At 37.5% G+C, this 16,507-nt stretch overlaps 1 protein-coding gene across 7 annotated transcripts in view; it reads left to right on the top strand.

The window, feature by feature from the left end:
* FHIT (fragile histidine triad diadenosine triphosphatase) overlaps positions 1–16,507 on the top strand; it is a 1,504,176-nt gene that overhangs the window by 426,443 nt on the left and 1,061,226 nt on the right. For all 7 annotated transcript variants that reach the window (NR_148921.2, NM_001354589.2, NM_001354590.2 and 4 more), the window contains one exon: positions 2,999–3,091. The gene's annotated coding sequence lies outside the window, so the exon portion shown is untranslated. The remainder of the gene's footprint in view (positions 1–2,998; positions 3,092–16,507) is intronic.

Here is a 16,507-nt window from a genome sequence, read left to right as displayed (position 1 = left end):
TAAAGTAGAATCCCATTATTTTCATTTGCATTTTCCTCATGTTTAGTGAGAGTATTAGTCAGTTTTCATGCTGCTGATAAAGACATACTGGAGATTGGGCAATTTACAACAGAAAGAAGTTTAATGGACTTACAGTTCCGTGTAGCTGGGGTGGCCTCACAATCATGGTGGAAGGCAAGGAGGAGCAAGTCACATCTTACAGGGATGGCAGCAGACAAATAGAGAGCTTGTGCAGAGAGACTCCCATGTTTTAAACCATCAGATCTCTCGAGACTTATTCACTCTCATGAGAACAGCATGGGAGAGACCCACCCCCATGATTCAATTACCTCCCACCAGGTTCCTCCCATGACACATGGGAATTGTGGGAGTTACAATTCAAGGTGAGACTTGGGTGGGGACACAGCCAAACCATATCAGTGAGGTTGAGCTGCTTTTCTTATGTCCATGGTCCATTGTTCCTTCTTTGAATCATGATTTTAAAAAATATTTATTTGTTTACCTTTTTCTTTTTGTTGATTTTAGGAGTTCCTTATATATTCTGGTTACTTATTCCCTGTCTGTTAAACCTGTTGCTAATATCTTTGGCTGGTCTGGCATTTGAGAAGATAATTTATTCAGATGATCAGTACAGTTAAGTTGTTACGGTTTCTAATTTAATTCTATGTACTATCAAGAAGTCAGGCGTATCTCTACCTGCAATCTATTGCAAATCCTTTTGGATCTGCTTTCAAAATATTTCGCATAGGACTGACCAGTTTTCACTCTCCTGTGTGCTACCTGGCTAGCACCTTTATTCACCAGGATAACTGCAGGAGCCTCCTAAGTGGCCTTGTTCTTCAGTTTATTCTTACCGAATAGCCAGAGAGAGCTTATTAAAATGTAAGTCAGATCTTGGTTCACCTCTGCTCAGAAGTAGGCAATGGCTTCCCACCTTGCTCCAAGTAAAAGCCTAAGTTCTTAGAGTGGCCCATAAGGTCTAGCACCCTCCAGCTCCTTGTCATCACTCTGACCTGGTTTCCTGCCACTCTCCCCTGGCTATTCCAGCCATACTGGCCTCCCTGCTGTTCTAACATACAAACATGCACCTGCCTGGGAGGTTTGTACTTTCTGTTCCCTCTGCCTAGAATTTCTTCATCCAGAGCCATCATCATGGTTGTCCCCTGCACCTCAAATCTTCCCTGAGACATTACCTTTTCAGTGAGATCTTTCCTGATCTCCTTGCTCAAAAATGCAACAATCTCCCCAAACACACTGTATTGATTTCCTAGGGTGGCAGTAACTAAGTACCATATACTGAGTGGCTTAAAACAACCGAAATTTATTGTCTCATAGTTCTGGAGGCTACAAGTCTGAAATCAAAGTGTCACCAGGGCCATGCTCCCTCTAAAATCTGCAGGGGAATCTTTCTTTGCCTTTTCCTAACTTCTAGTGATTTGCTGGCAATCCTTGGCTTGCAGCTACATAACTCCAATCTCTGCCTTTATTCTCACATGGCGTTCCTTCTCCCGTGTGTCTCTGTGTCTTCACGTGGTCATCCTCTTATATCCAATCATATTGGATGAGAGGCCTGCCCACCGATCTCCAGTATGACTTCATCTTAACTTAAATAATTATATCTGTATCAATCCTATTACCAAATAAGGTCACATTCTAAGTACTGAGGGTTAGGACTTCAACATATCTTTTTTCCTGATGGGGAGGGGTTGGGGGAACAGAATTCAACCCATAGTACTCACCATCTCCCTTCCTACTTTGTGTTTCTCCAGAGTCCTTAGAACTATTTAACCACTCATGTATTTTACATATGTATTTTGTTTGTTTGTCTCCTCTACCAGAAGGTAGGCAGCATGATGGCCTGATCTTGGACTATTATGTTCACTGCTATAGAGAATAGTGCCTGACACCTTAGTAGAGTCTCAATAAATACTTGTTAAATGAATGATCATCTGCTTTCAATTACTACATTGAGCTGACCATGTAACATGATGTAGACCAAGATTATTAGATTAAAAAAGGAAACGATTACCTCTAAATGAGATCCTAGGGAATGAATTGGTGTTTATGATATTTTTATTTCAAAGAAGTGTACATGAAGGAAACCCAGAGGTAGAGGTCAGAGCAGTGAGGAACCAGCCAGTTAGGGGATTAGTGCATTGTCATTGAGTGATTTATGAGCAGCAAGGTCTCAATAGCCTCCCTGTCACTTGTCCACTTTGGGGTTATCCCTGCAAGTAAGGTGGGTCATGGGGCTTTCACTTTGCCCTAGCATCTAACATGTGCCAGAAACTGTACTTGGTACTTTATTCTCATTTAGAAAAAAAAAATCCTCTTCATAAATGTACCCTTCAAATATTATTATACCCGTTTGATAGAGATAGAAAGTGAGCCTCAGTGATGTTGAGCAGCTACATAGGATACAGAAGTAGTAAACACATTACTAGGATTCAAACTCAGGCCAGTGGGACCAAAAAAACCCATGTTTCTTTGCTTGTCAGATTCCTTCAGATTCTGTGGACACCAGAGTTTCAAGGGAAAGTGAGTAAACTGGCCACACAGGACACTTCAGACAGGTGACTTGGCATAGACCACCAGAAAACCAGAGAAAGACTCTTCCCACCAGACTCACGGGTCAGCCTCATCTTTTTGCAAAATGGAAAGCCCCAGTGCCAGGACTTTCCAGTTCTTGAGGAGGATCAGATGATGTGGCTGAAACAACCCTGGACTAGGAATCAGAAATGAATAATTAAGGCATGGTTCTGCCCCTTTTCTTGTGTGATCATGTATGAACCACTTACACCCTTTTGAGCCACAGTCTCCAATGTACAGATTAATGACAATGCCTGCAAAAATCACATATGTACCTTCATTCTGCCCTTTTAACAATACCTGTGTGGCAATGCTCAGTATTCATGGTGAACGTTCCTAATGAAATTGTACCTAGAGCCATCTGGATCACTGCTGAAATAATCATCTGAATTTCTTGTCCTTGGTGTAGGTATCCTAGGAATACCTGCCTGCTTAGACCCTCTATAAAAGCTCTGTGCATCCTGCCACTGAGGACTCCGAAGAGGTAGCAGTCTTCTGAAAGGTAGGTTTACTTAATTTTGATTTTTTTTTCAAAGAGTTTGAAATAATTGACCTGCTGTGAGTATCCTTATAATAGTAGTAATGTTCCTATGTACTTGTAAAATAGAACTTTTAAAATGGTAAAATTTCAGGGCTAGATTCCCTTGGAGAATTTACCCTCTTTCGACTTCTATTTGTAGCTGCCATTTTAAAAATTGGGGTATAAATATTATGTCAGTTAAATAAAAGAATGATGACTTCACTTTCTGAAGAAAGCATTCCCCTTCTTTTCCATGAAATGTAGCTTACCTGTTACCTGACTGACATGCCATTATATTATCCTCCCCCCAGCAGTTACACATATTTAATAATTTTTACGTGTAAAAAGTAAGGTTAAACAGTTACAAAGTCAGGTTGTTATGTTTTGCATGACTTTGAGAATGCTAGTGGAATGGAAATAAAGTTAGGAGCAGCAGGAGGAGGCTCTGTTGAAACAGATCTCCTTCAGTGGCATGGTACTGTTCATGGTCAGAGGAAGTCCTAGGGCATATGCTGGGACAGACAGTGAAGGGTAGGTCTTACAAAGAGGCTTTACGTTAGAGTAAAATAATCACTTATCTGTATGCATCTTTGAATGATTTCACCGGATATGTTGAATATGTATTTTTAAAAATAGCAGCAAAGGGCCTGTAATCCCAGCACTTTGGGAGGCCGAGGTAGGTGGATCACTTGAGGTCAGGAGTTTGAGACCAGCCTGGCCAACATGGTGAAACCTCATCTCTACCAAAAATCCAAAAATTAGCCGGATGTGGTAGCAGGTGTCTGTAATCCCAGCTACTCAGGAGGCTGAGGCAGGAGAATCACTTGAACCTGGGAGGTGGAGGTTGCAGTGAGCTAAGATCATGCCATTGCACTCCAGCCTAGGCGACAGAGTGAGACCCTGCCAAAAAAACCCCATAATAATAATAATAATAGCAAGAAAGTAGGAGCAATGCACTAATCTGGTAATCTCTAGCATGTCGTCAGGGGACTGTGCTCATGTAACCCCTCCTTAGGACTCATATTTACTCCTCTCCTTTTCTGTTACCTCATCTCATCTTTACTCCTTTAACAGTATCTCTCATTTCCGGGTCTCAGACAATTTAACATGTATAATAAATATGTATATTGAATAATCCTATGTACCAGAACACAAAGATACTGTATTCCTTTTCCTGCTTCCGGTTAAGTCCCAGTTTCCTGTATCCACTTTACAATGTCAGCCAGCTTATCCTTCGTGCTGCCTTCCCTTTCCCTCTCATTCCAAAGTCACTTGAAACCCACGGTTTATGCAAAATTTGCAAAGTTGGGCAGGATTGCCCCTAGAGTTGTAGAACTGTGAGACATTGCTGCATCTTGTTGTGGGATGAGGCAGGCATCTTTACTTCCTAATGTGCCAGATTTTTCTCTGGCAGGTCACCTGCCTGTTTAGATGGTTTACCTGGAAAACAAAGTTTAAAGGCAGTAAATGAAATGAGGTAAAATGGAGCACTGGTGTTATGTGCCTTTTCATATGAGCCTTTACATATAATTATTTGATCCTTTTGTTATTGTTTGGGTTAGTGTTTTAAGCCCTGAAGGAGGGCTTTCTTTTTTGAAATGGAGTCTCGCTGTCGCCCAGGCTGGAGTACAATGGTGTGATCTCAGCTAACCGCAACCTCTACCTCCTGGGTTTAAGCAATTTTTGTGCCTCAGCCTCCCAAGTAGCTGGGATTACAAGCGCCCGCCACCAGGCCCACCTAATTTTTGTATTTTTAGTAGAGATGGGGTTTTACCGTGTTGGCCAGGCTGGTCTTGAACCCCTGACCTCAAGTGATCCACCCACCTCAGCCACCCAAAGTGCAGGGATTACAGGTGTGAGCCATCACTCCCGGCTAGAAGGTTCTTTTTAAACATAAAAGCTGTCAATATAAAATATATTGTTTCTGGAAGGGTGGCATTTTAATATCAATAATTACTGACAAAAAGGACTGTAGACTATTTAAGTTTTAGAAACCCTACTTACTCCTAGAAAGACTTCTATTTTCTCTCCTAATAGTAAAGAGTATGTGCCTGATGTCTCCAAAACCCCTTTGCTATTTCTTCTCTTTACAAAGACTGACTCAGAGTTCTACTGTTTGCTGTGTGCTCTTAGTGAACTCAACCTCTCGGAACTCTGGTTACTTCCTCCGTAAAATGAAGCTAGTTATGGGAACTGCTCAAAGAATAGTTGTGAAGGATTAACTGACAATTAATGTAAAGTGGTTAGCAAGGTGGCTGGTATACAGAAGCTTTCAAGAAGTGGAAGCCATAATGATTATGATTAGAAGGAATTGTGCAATTACCAACTCTGGGTTGGCATTTTAGGATTTTCAGTATTCTGTTTCTCGTGGCATATTATCTATTGCAGTTTTCAATGAGGCAGGATTTAGAGATATCTGAGACCAAAGAAATAAGGTAAAATAACGTGGCAAAGTACCATGTAGATAATCACTGGTAGTCATGATTCTGTATAAGCCTCATTGCTTTGAGATTAAATGCCACCAGTCTAAGAGCTAGAATTGATTGATGTTCTATCATTCTATCATTTAACTTTATGCTGTGTTTTCATTCCAAGTCTTCTCATGTACTTGGCAAGATGATCAAGGAAGCCCTGAGCCTGGCTTCTATTTCTACTTAAAACCAAACTCAAATGTCACTAAATGAGGGAATGGACGGAGGTTAAGTATTTTGAGGAGAGGTGTTAGGAAATGCAAAGGAATGTTTCCTAAATGTTTTTACTTGTTTCCATTTCCAATATGGCTAAGTAAGTTCTACTGGATCTGAAATTCTCACAGATATCAACTATAAAGTACCAAAAGACCAAAAACAAAAAAAAAAAAAAGAAAAGAAAAAAGAAAAGAAAAAAGAAATTACCTGGAAGCATTAGAGAATAAAAATAAGCAGACAGATTCTGGAGGGGAGCTGAAATTCAAAACTTGGAAGCACAGATCGGTCCAGAGTGAGTTTCCCATTTTACAACTTTTAGAGTGAGAACAGGCTAAAATTAATGTCATTTCGGGTGGCCATCCTCCAATAGAAAACTCACAGTGTTTTTGGTTTGAAGACCCAAAGAACAGGGTTCAGGGCAATCATAGCCACAGGAAAATGAATTCAGAATCTTGGAAAGAAGAGAGGCAGAGAGGGGAAGCTCCCAAATCTGTATATAAACACTACCCAAATTTCTGGTTGACCCTTGAATTTATTAATATGAGACAAACTAAACTTTCAGACAAAAAGAGTTACCAGAGATGAAGGAGAACATTTCATGATAGTAAATCATTATATTAAGAAGAAGTAGGAATTGTAGATGAATATGCACTTGATAAAATTCCAAGTGAGATCACGTCATGTAATTCTGAGGTATATGTCATGTGTATATTCTTGATGGAGCAGACACAAATTATCACAAAGATAAAAGAACTGAACTGAGATTCGAGCTGCTACCCAAGGGATAGTTTTAAATTTGAGTATAAATAATTGCCTGCTAAAACAAATAAATCAATACCCTTCAGAAAACTATAACAGGATTGAAGCTCTGCATACAATAACATCAATACTTGCATATCATACAACCCCAAATTACACGCTATATGGAAACCCAATAAAATGTGACTCATTCTGAAGACAAAAAGCAATTATCTGAGACCAATTCCAAGATGAGCCAAATGTGGGAATTAACAAAGATTTTAAAGTGGCTATTTTAACCATGCTCCACAAATAATAGGAAAATAAACTCATAATGAATAAGAAGGTAGTAAACAGAAACTGCAAAAAGAACCAAATAGAAATCCTGAAACTGAAAAATACAGTATTTGAAATAAAAACTCATTGAGTATACTTACAGCAACTGGAGGAAACAAAGGAAAGTGTTAGTGAACTTAAAGATAGATCCATAGAAATTTTCTTTTGGAAGAACAGACAGAAAAAAAGACTTAAAATGACTGAATAAAAAAAATAAACAGAGACTCAGGGACCTGTGTAACAGAAATTAAAATGTCTAGCTTACATGTAATTGGAGTCTCAGAAGGAGAAGAGAAAGAGAATGAAACAGAACAAAATATTTGAAGAAATAATGGGCCCAAATTTTCAAATTTGGTGAAATACATAAATGCATAGATCAAGAAATGCAGTGAATCCCAAATGGGATACATTTGAAGAAAACTGTGCATAGGTACATCATATTCCAACTGGTGAGGACCAACAATAAAGAGAGAATCTTGATAGTAGCCAGAGAAAAATGGCACGGTATCTTTGGTGGAACAATGCTTTAAATGAACGATGACGTCTCATCAGAATTTATAAAGGCCAGAAAAATTGAAATGATGTTTTTAAAGTACAAACGAGGGGTAAAAAAAAAAGCAAAACACTGTTAATCCAGAATTCTATGTGTAGCAAAAATATCCTTTGTGAGTAAAGGCAAATTAGTACATTTTCAGATAAAAGGAAACTAAGAGCATTTATTATCAGCAGACCTGCCCCACAGAAATGCTAAAGGAAAGATTGTTCAGGCTATAAAGTGAGATAACACCAGATGGAATCTTAAGTCTTCAAGAAGGAATGAAAAAATTTTGGAAATTGTAAATATAAAAGACTAGTTTTTCATGATAAGATCTTTAACTACACAGGACCTGTTAAAGCAAAAATTATAACATTGTCTTGTGGTGTTTATAATGTAATATGTACAGATGTAATCCATATGACTTTATAGCATAAAGAATGGAGGCAGTGGCAAATGGATTTATACAGTTGCAAGGTTTTCCAATTTTATATGAGATAGTATAAAATTAAATCTAAGTAGACTGTGAAAGATCAAGAATATATGTTTTAATTCCTAGAAAAACCACTGAAAATCCAAAGATAAAATAGAATCCTAAATTAAGAAAAAAATGATCCAAAAGTTGCAGAGGGAAGAAAAAGAAAAACAAGAAGTGGAGGAGCAAACAGAAAACATATAATAAACTTGCAGCTCTAAATGCAACCATATCAGTAATCAGACTAAATGTCAGTGGACTAATCACTAATTAAAATGTAGCAGTGTCATAGCAAAATTCTACCTGATGTACAAAGAAGAGCTGGTACAATTCTACTGAACTATTCCAAAAAATTGAAGAGGAGCAACTCCTCCCAAACTCATTCTGTGCATCACCCTGATAGCAAACCTGACAAACACACAATAAAAAAAAAAGAAATCAACAGGCCAATATCCCTGATGAACATAGAGGCAAAAATCCTGAACATAATACCAGCAAACCAAATTCAACAGCACATCAAAAGGTTAATTTACCATGATCAAGTAGGCTTCATTCTGGCATGCAAATTTGGTCCAACATGAGCAAATACAAATGTGATTCACCACATAAATAGGATTTTTAAAAAGCCTTAGAATCATCTCACTAGATGTAGAAAAAGCTTTTGCTATAATCCAACATCCCTTCATGATAAAAAACTTCAAGAAAGTAGGCACTGAAGAACATACCTCTAAATAATAAGAGCCATCTATGATAAAACCACAGCCAATATCATACTGAATGGGCAAAAACTGAAAGCATTACCCTTGCGAACTGGAACAAGACAAAGATGCCCACTCTTACTACTCCTATTCAACATAGTACTGGAAGTGCTAGCCACAGCAATCAGGCAAGAGAAAGAAATAAAATGCATCTTAATAGGAAAAGAAGAAATCAAACTATCTCTCTTTGCAGACAATATGATTCTATTCCTAAAAAACTCAAAGACGCCACCAAAAGCCTCCTAGAACTCAGAAACAACTTCAGTAAAGTTTCAGGTCATTAAATCAATGTACAGAAATCAGTAGCATTTCTGTACACCAATAATGTTCAACTTGCGAGCCAAATCAAGAAGGAAATCTCATTTACAATAGCCTGAAAAAATAGAAGTATATAAAATACTTAGGAATACATCTAACCAAGGAGATGAAATGTATCTACAAGGGGAACCACAAAACACTGCTAAAAGAAATCATAGAAGACACAAACAGATGGAAAAACATTCCATGCTCATGGATTGGAAGAATCAATTTCATTAATGTGGCCATACTGCCCAAAATAATCTACAGGTTTTATACAGGTAGTTTATAAAACTACTCTACCATATTTCACAGAACTGGAAAAAACTATTATAAAGTACATGTGGAATCAAAAAAGAGACTGAATAGCCAAAGCAAACTTAAACAAAAAGAACAAAGCTGGAGGCACACATTTTCCAACTCCAAGCTATACTACAAGGCTACAGTAACCAAACCAGTATAGTACTGGTACAAGACAGACACAGAAACCAATGGAACAGACTAGAGAACCCAGAAATAAAGCTGCACACTTACAACCATCTGATCTTCAACAAAGTTAACAAAAGCAATGGAGAAAGGTTTCCTTATTTAATAAATGGCGCTGGGATAACTGGCTAGCCATATACAGAAGAATGAAACTGGACCCCTACATTTCACCATATACAAAGCTAACTCCATATGGAGTAAAGATTTAAATGTAAGAACTCAAAGTATGAGAATCCTAGAGGAAAACCTAGGAAACACCATTCTGGACATCAGCCTTGGGAAAGAATTTATGACTAAGTCCTCAAAAGCAATTGCAACAAAACCAAAAATTGACAAGTGAGACTAATCAAACCAGAGAGCTTCTGCACAGCAAAAGAAACTGTCAACAGAGTAAACAACCTACAGGATGACAGAAAATATTCACAAATTACACAACCACTAAAGGTCTAATATCTGGAGTCTATAAGGAACTTAAATGATTGAACAAGCAAAAACCAACCCCATTAAAAAATGGGCAAAAGACATGAACAGAAACTTCTCAAAGGGAGACAGACATACAAGTGGCCAACAAACATGAAAAAATGCTCATTGTCCCTAATCATCAGAGAAATACAAATCAAAACCACCATGAGATACCATCTCACACCAGTCAGAATGGCTAAAGTAAAAAAAAAAAAAACAACAAAAACAAAACAAAACTAAACAAACAAAAAAAAACCACATGTTGGTGAGGCTGCTGAGAAACAGGAATGCTTATACACTGTTGGTGGGAATGTAAATTAGTTCGGCCACTGTGGAAAGCAGTTTGGTGATTTCCCAAAGAACTTAAAACAGAACTACCATTCGATCCAGCAATTCCATTACTGTGTATAGATCCAAAAGAAAACAAATCATTCTACCAAAGACACATGTACTTGCATGTTCATTGTCACAGCACTATTCACAATAGCAAAGATATGGACTCAACCTAGGTGCCCATCAATGGTGGATCAGATAAAGAAAATTTGGTACATGTATATCATGGGATATTATGCAGTAATAAAAAAGAATCGAATCATGTCCTTTGCAGCCACGTGGATGCAGCCAGACACCATTATCCTAGCAATTTAATGCAGGAACAGAAAACTAAATGCCACATGTTCTCACTTGTAAGTAGGAACTAAACTTTGGGTACGTGTGGACGTGAAGATGGTAACAATAGACACTGGGGACTACTAGAGCAGGGAAGAAGGGAGAGGGGAAAAGGTTGAAAAACCAAATGGTGAGTACTATGCTCAGTACCTGGGTAATGCTACCATTCATATCCCAAACCTCAGCATGATGCAATATACCCAGGTAACAAACATGCAAATATACCCCCTGAATCTAAAATGAAAGTTGAAAAAATAAACACATAAAAACAGATGAATGAATTTTTTTTAAAAAGACCTAAGCCCAAGGGCTTTATGAATGCAAGCTACTTTCAAATGATTGACAAAATGAATAAGTTTTGTGGGCAAAGAAACCAAACAAATAAAAATAAATAAATATTCAAAAAAATGCTGAGATGATTAGAATGTATAAAAAAGCAAGAACAGCTATGTTCTGTTAAGAGATAGCCTTTAAATAAAAAAACACAGATAGGTTTAAAATAAATTGATGGAAATAAATACACCATGGAAACAGCATAGGAAGTCTAGAGTGGCTATAATAATATCAGACAAACTCAACTTTAAGACAAAAAATATTATCAGAGATAAAGAAGAAGAGTGTGTCATAATAAAGGAGTCATTAAATTAAGAAGACATAAGGATTATACATGAATATAGACTTGATAAAATTCCAAGTGAGATCACTTTATGTCTTTTCAAATCTAGAATTTTTTGACGACTGTCTCAATCATGAGTCAAAAGACGCAAGTGGCTCATCACTTTAAGCTAACAATCATTTAATAAAATCATGGAATAAAAACAACACAGGTGAAAAAATGTAATTGGAGAGTATAGAGATCTCAGTATAACTGCTGCTAAGTTTTTTATTGTAATGTTTTACAACACGTGTTTGCTTCATTTAATGCGTTGTATATGTTTAAGCACCTCCCATGATCTAGGATCAAGTTGGATGCCTTCAAAATTCTTCAAATGGAGTTCATATTTAATTAGTATGCACCAGAACAGGCATTAAGCCTATGCTGGTTGGTGCCTTTACCATACTAATGGTTAAATATTTTAAATATCATTTGTCTTAGTCCATTTTGTTTCTGCTATAACAGAATACCCGAGATTGGGCAATTTATTAAAAGAAAATAAATTTATTTGGTTCATGGTTCTGGAAGTTGGGAAGTACAACAGCAAGGTGCTGGCATCTGGTGAGGGCCTTTGTGCTTGTCATCCCATGGAGGCAAGCAGAAGGGCAGGAGAAAATGAAAATGAGCCAATGAGAGGGCCAAACTCATTTTTATAATAACTCACTCATGATAACAAACCTACTTTCTTCATAATGATGTTAATCCATTTATGAAGGTAGAGCTCTCAAGACCTAATCATCTCTCAGTGGTCCCACCTCTTGATGGTCCCTCTTCTCCATACCATGACAATGGCAGTTAAATTTTAACATAATTTTTGGAGGGGACATTTAAATCATAACATAACCCCTGCTTACAATAGTTATATAAGTTCAAAGTGTTTCCTCCATTTGCCAGTGGAAGAATCTATGGCTCTAAGAGGTTCATACTATGTTGTCCAATGTCATACAACTAATGGATAGCAGAGCCAGCCTTCAAATCTGAATCTGTCTGTTTCCAAAGCTGCTTCCACTGCACAGCATCGTTTTTCTCTGGGGAAACACCACTGACTCATTTTTGTTAGGGTATGCATATGAGGAACTACAGTGCTATTTTTGTGGACTCCCTTGAAGATAAATGAACATCTTTATGGTATGTCTGGCTACATTCTGGATATAGTCAATTTATGGGTTAGAATTCGTGTACTGTGAAGTCACCAGTGGAGTCATGGCTGTGAGACATAGGGAAACTTGGTATTTCACATAGAGGTAGACCATGATTTTGGCCCAGTTTTGTGAGTACCCTGAAGTATAAATTATTAAACCTGAAAATGTCACATGTGTGTATTCTTGATAAAGTTCTGTACTTCTGGTTGGGCACAGTGGCTCATGCCTGTAATCCCACTTTGGGAGGCCAAAGTGGGTGGATTTCTTGAGGCCAGGAGTTCGAGACCAGCTTGGGCAACACGATGAAACTCCATCTCTACTAAAAATACAAAAATTAGCCAGGCATGATGCTGCTTGGGAATCTGAGCTGCTTGGGAGGCTGAGGCAAAAGAATCACTGGACTCCAGGAAGCAGAGGTTGCAGTGAGCCAAGATGACTCCACTGAGCAACAACAGCCAGACTCTGTCTCAAAAAAAAAAAAAAAAGAGTCTGTATTTCCAATAGACATGTTTATATTAAGAATTTGGAATTTATGGACAACTTTTCCAGATCTCCATGTACTCTGTGACATGAGAGAAAGACAGCAAGTATGGATCTTCACCTAGCCTGGGGCAGAATTTTACATCAGTGCGTGAAGTTTGGAGGGATAAATGATTTCTAAATCATGTTTAAGGGTCTATGCATTTGTGTTTTACTTGTAATTAGTAGAACTACAATTATTTCTTAGAGTCAACATTTCAGACTTTTAAAATGTTACTATGTATCGAATGCCACACTGGCTGATTTTGAAAATATTCTCTCTAAATCTTTACAATGATCTTAGAAATATATATTATCCCTATTTTAGAAATAAGGACCCTGAAGCTTCCATATTTTTTCCTCGTAACTAGAAGGCTAATATGTTTGATCATCTTCATGGCATAGGACCCAAGCAATAAGCTATGGCTTCACTGTACTTGCTTCTGGGGTTTTCTATGTCATTTCCATGTTATATGTGAGGTGTCCTAGCCTGGAGTCAGGTGACATGGATTCTTGTTATGGATCTTACTAGTTAGCTAAGAAATCTCAACTTCCTTCAGGGTAGCTTATAAACTATTTTAAGTAAGGTTACTAACATATGTATAGAAAATCAGGAAACAAATCTGCTAACCGCTACTGCTAACAGAGTTGCAAACATACATTTAGCATGAGAATTCACTCGAGTTTTCTGACAAGCAGAGCAAAGAGGGAAACAGTAGTTTCATATTCTTGTAATCAGAAAAGTTAAAATGTCAGAAATTCCTCATATGACCTCTAAGAACCCTTCTTATTTCGAGATTTTATAAAAACAGGTGTAATAACACCCAAAATTCAGAATCTTAGTAGGATTAAATAAAATCCCATTTGTGAGTGAATGTTAGCTTACTGTTTTTCTTCTTATAGAACTCCAATAAAGGCTCATGGTAGAAATCTCAGGACAGTCAGACTATAGTTAGCTTTGTTAAAACCCCATACTCTGAATTTCTGTGGGTAAACTAGTCTCTATTTAAGTATGCCTGTGTTGTCAGTAACTGTGCGAAAGACTTTTACGATCTTGTTCATACAAAGCAGATGTTATTGTCCATGTTTCATAAATTAGGAAACTGAGCCCCTGAGAAATGATGTAATTTGACCAAGGCCACAGAGAAGTATTTTAGTCAGAATTCGAACCCCTATCTCTCTGTCACCAAGGCCTATGTTTTTTCCAGTACGCTGAATCATTTCTAAACTATTGAATAATTTAACAGTTTGGGCATTATTTCTAAAAACAATTCCAGTTTATAAAGTGATCTGCATGAAGAACCAGCACATACTGGGTTAGAATTCATGTACTGTGAAATCACCAGTGGATTCATGGCTCAGAAAGCTCCACCTTGCCCCTGACAACATCCAGAGAACTTTAAATATCTATATTTTGTTTTTGTGCTTTGTTTTTTAAGAAGCAATTTCTTCATCAAGACTTGAGGACTTGGAGAGTGACAGAGAGTTAAGGTTGCCTGGGGACCATTAGTGACAGCTTTGCCAATACAGTTGGAATGTTCCTCAACTGTAAAGCTTATTTAATGAAAAGAGACCCAAGAAACCTTTCTACTAATGTGTAGTGCTCTCTTGTCAGTTTGAAATGAGCAAACTGTCAGCTTGCCGATTACCATGCACACAGTATATGCTCATTAAATCATGCACTGTGGGTTTCTTCAGGTTGTCAAACTGCTTAATTGAAAAAATGTGTAGTGTCGCTCCTATGGGAAAGAGGCAAGAATCAAAGGGCTGGAGAGCTTACTCTTAATATTTCAGTTTGCTTTTAACTGCAGCCAGAAATTGTTCTGTTTTACAGTTTTGACTAAAGGACTATTCCTTCTGTATTTTTCTTGTTTTGTTTATAATTCAAACACTGTAATTATAATGGAGTTGCTTTTATAATAGAGCTACTAAATCATTCTGCCAGCTGATGAAAACTAAAGGGAAGGGCTCATTTTCTTGTGCCATAACTGTTAAGGCCAACTTGGGTGTGTTGAGGCTGACACAAACTGGGAATCAAGAGCTCCAGATGGATTTTAGTCTTGCGAAATCTCTGCTTCAGTGTTTGCATTTTGTAGGAGTGTTAGGCCTTATCATCACCGCAGTGTGTGGGTTAATCCTTTCTGACAGAAATGCCCTTAGGCTGGTAGGGTTTCTCAATTTGTTTATATGGTAGCTTTAAAAAATACCAATGCCCATACAGAAGAAATCAGAATCCTTGGGGGTAAAGTGCTTTAAAAGCCCCAGGGGATTCTAGTATGAGCCAGGGTTGAGAGAGACTAGCCTAAATGGACTTGAGTTGTTCAGTAGCTCAAGTCAAGACTAATCTTACCAGCTGTTATCATCAACCCTGCTCACATCAACTAATGTTTTCTAAAGGCTTATACAACCTTTAAGGTTTCAGAAGGTTAAAAACTCTGATTTCTGGGCTCCACTTAGATCTATTAAATAAGATTCTTTGGGGTCAGGGCCCAGGAATCTGTTTTTAATAAGAGCTCTGGGTGATTCTTATGTACTAAGGTTTGAGAATTTGCTAAAGAAGCAAGATGATATTTATAAGTGGGGTTCAGTGAAACTTCAGAGGAGAGTTTGCAAATCACAGTAAATTGAGGGCAAGGTTTTTTATGCTTTTTAAATGGTAGTGATTTTGGTACATTCATCTGGGTCTAACTGGAGTCATGCATGGTTATAATAGCATCCACTTTATTTAGGGGGAAAAGACCCCCACTATCTAGTGCCATGTAAGACCTGGGAATACACACATATTCTATTGCCTCTTTAATCTTTAGGTACCAGGAACTAATGACTAGGGCCAATGTATTTTTCAAGGGCCTATGAAAATATTCAGAACTAACAGAGAGAGAAAAACTACTTTGATTTCAGTGTATGCAGAAATTGCACAATCTGAACAATGTCATATTTAATGATATGTCAATAAATGAAATTTTATGCTCTTGTGATTAATTACTAAATGTAATAGTTATTAAAATGTCTACTCTTAGAGACATTTTATGAGTTAGCTTTTCTCAGTTCTTAAGAATTCCTGAAACTGCATGTTGATTACTGGGAAATTTTAGGCAATTTAAAAAATTAAATTAACCAAATTATACATAAGCAAATAATTTTAAATGCAAAAGTATAAAAATATTTTTCACAGATCTCACATACAAAAACTGTTTCGTGTATGTTGAATAAAATTTATAGAAGTCCATTGGTTTGGACTGAACTACTGAACCAAGCTCAACAGTCCAAACCAAAATAGAATTACTCATGCTGAAGTTTTGGCCACCAAGCCAAAACCAAGTTTTTCATCTGACCTTCTAAGAAATCAGGGGGGAGAACTAGTAGCCAAATCCTCAACTAGACCAGTTGTAGCCAATATGATAAGGATGTCCCTCTGCTTTAACCTTTACAAGGAAAGTAACTTGGAAACAACCAATTTGCTTTTGGTTCTTTGTTTCTGCTTTCTTCATCCCTTTTCCAGCTGTAAAGGAAACCTCCTCTGCTCAGCTCATTGGAACACTCATTCTTTTTTATACAGTGAGGTTTTGTCTGATTCTAGAATCACAAATAAAAGCCAGTTAAGATCTTTAAACTAAATTTGTTTCAATTTTGCCTTTT

The sequence above is a fragment of the Homo sapiens genome, chromosome 3, assembly GCF_000001405.40.
Source record: "Homo sapiens chromosome 3, GRCh38.p14 Primary Assembly".
In the NCBI taxonomy this organism is placed as follows: Eukaryota; Metazoa; Chordata; class Mammalia; order Primates; family Hominidae; genus Homo; species Homo sapiens.
The sequence above is the reverse complement of the archived record's forward strand: the minus strand, read 5'-3'. Positions and strand labels throughout refer to the sequence as shown.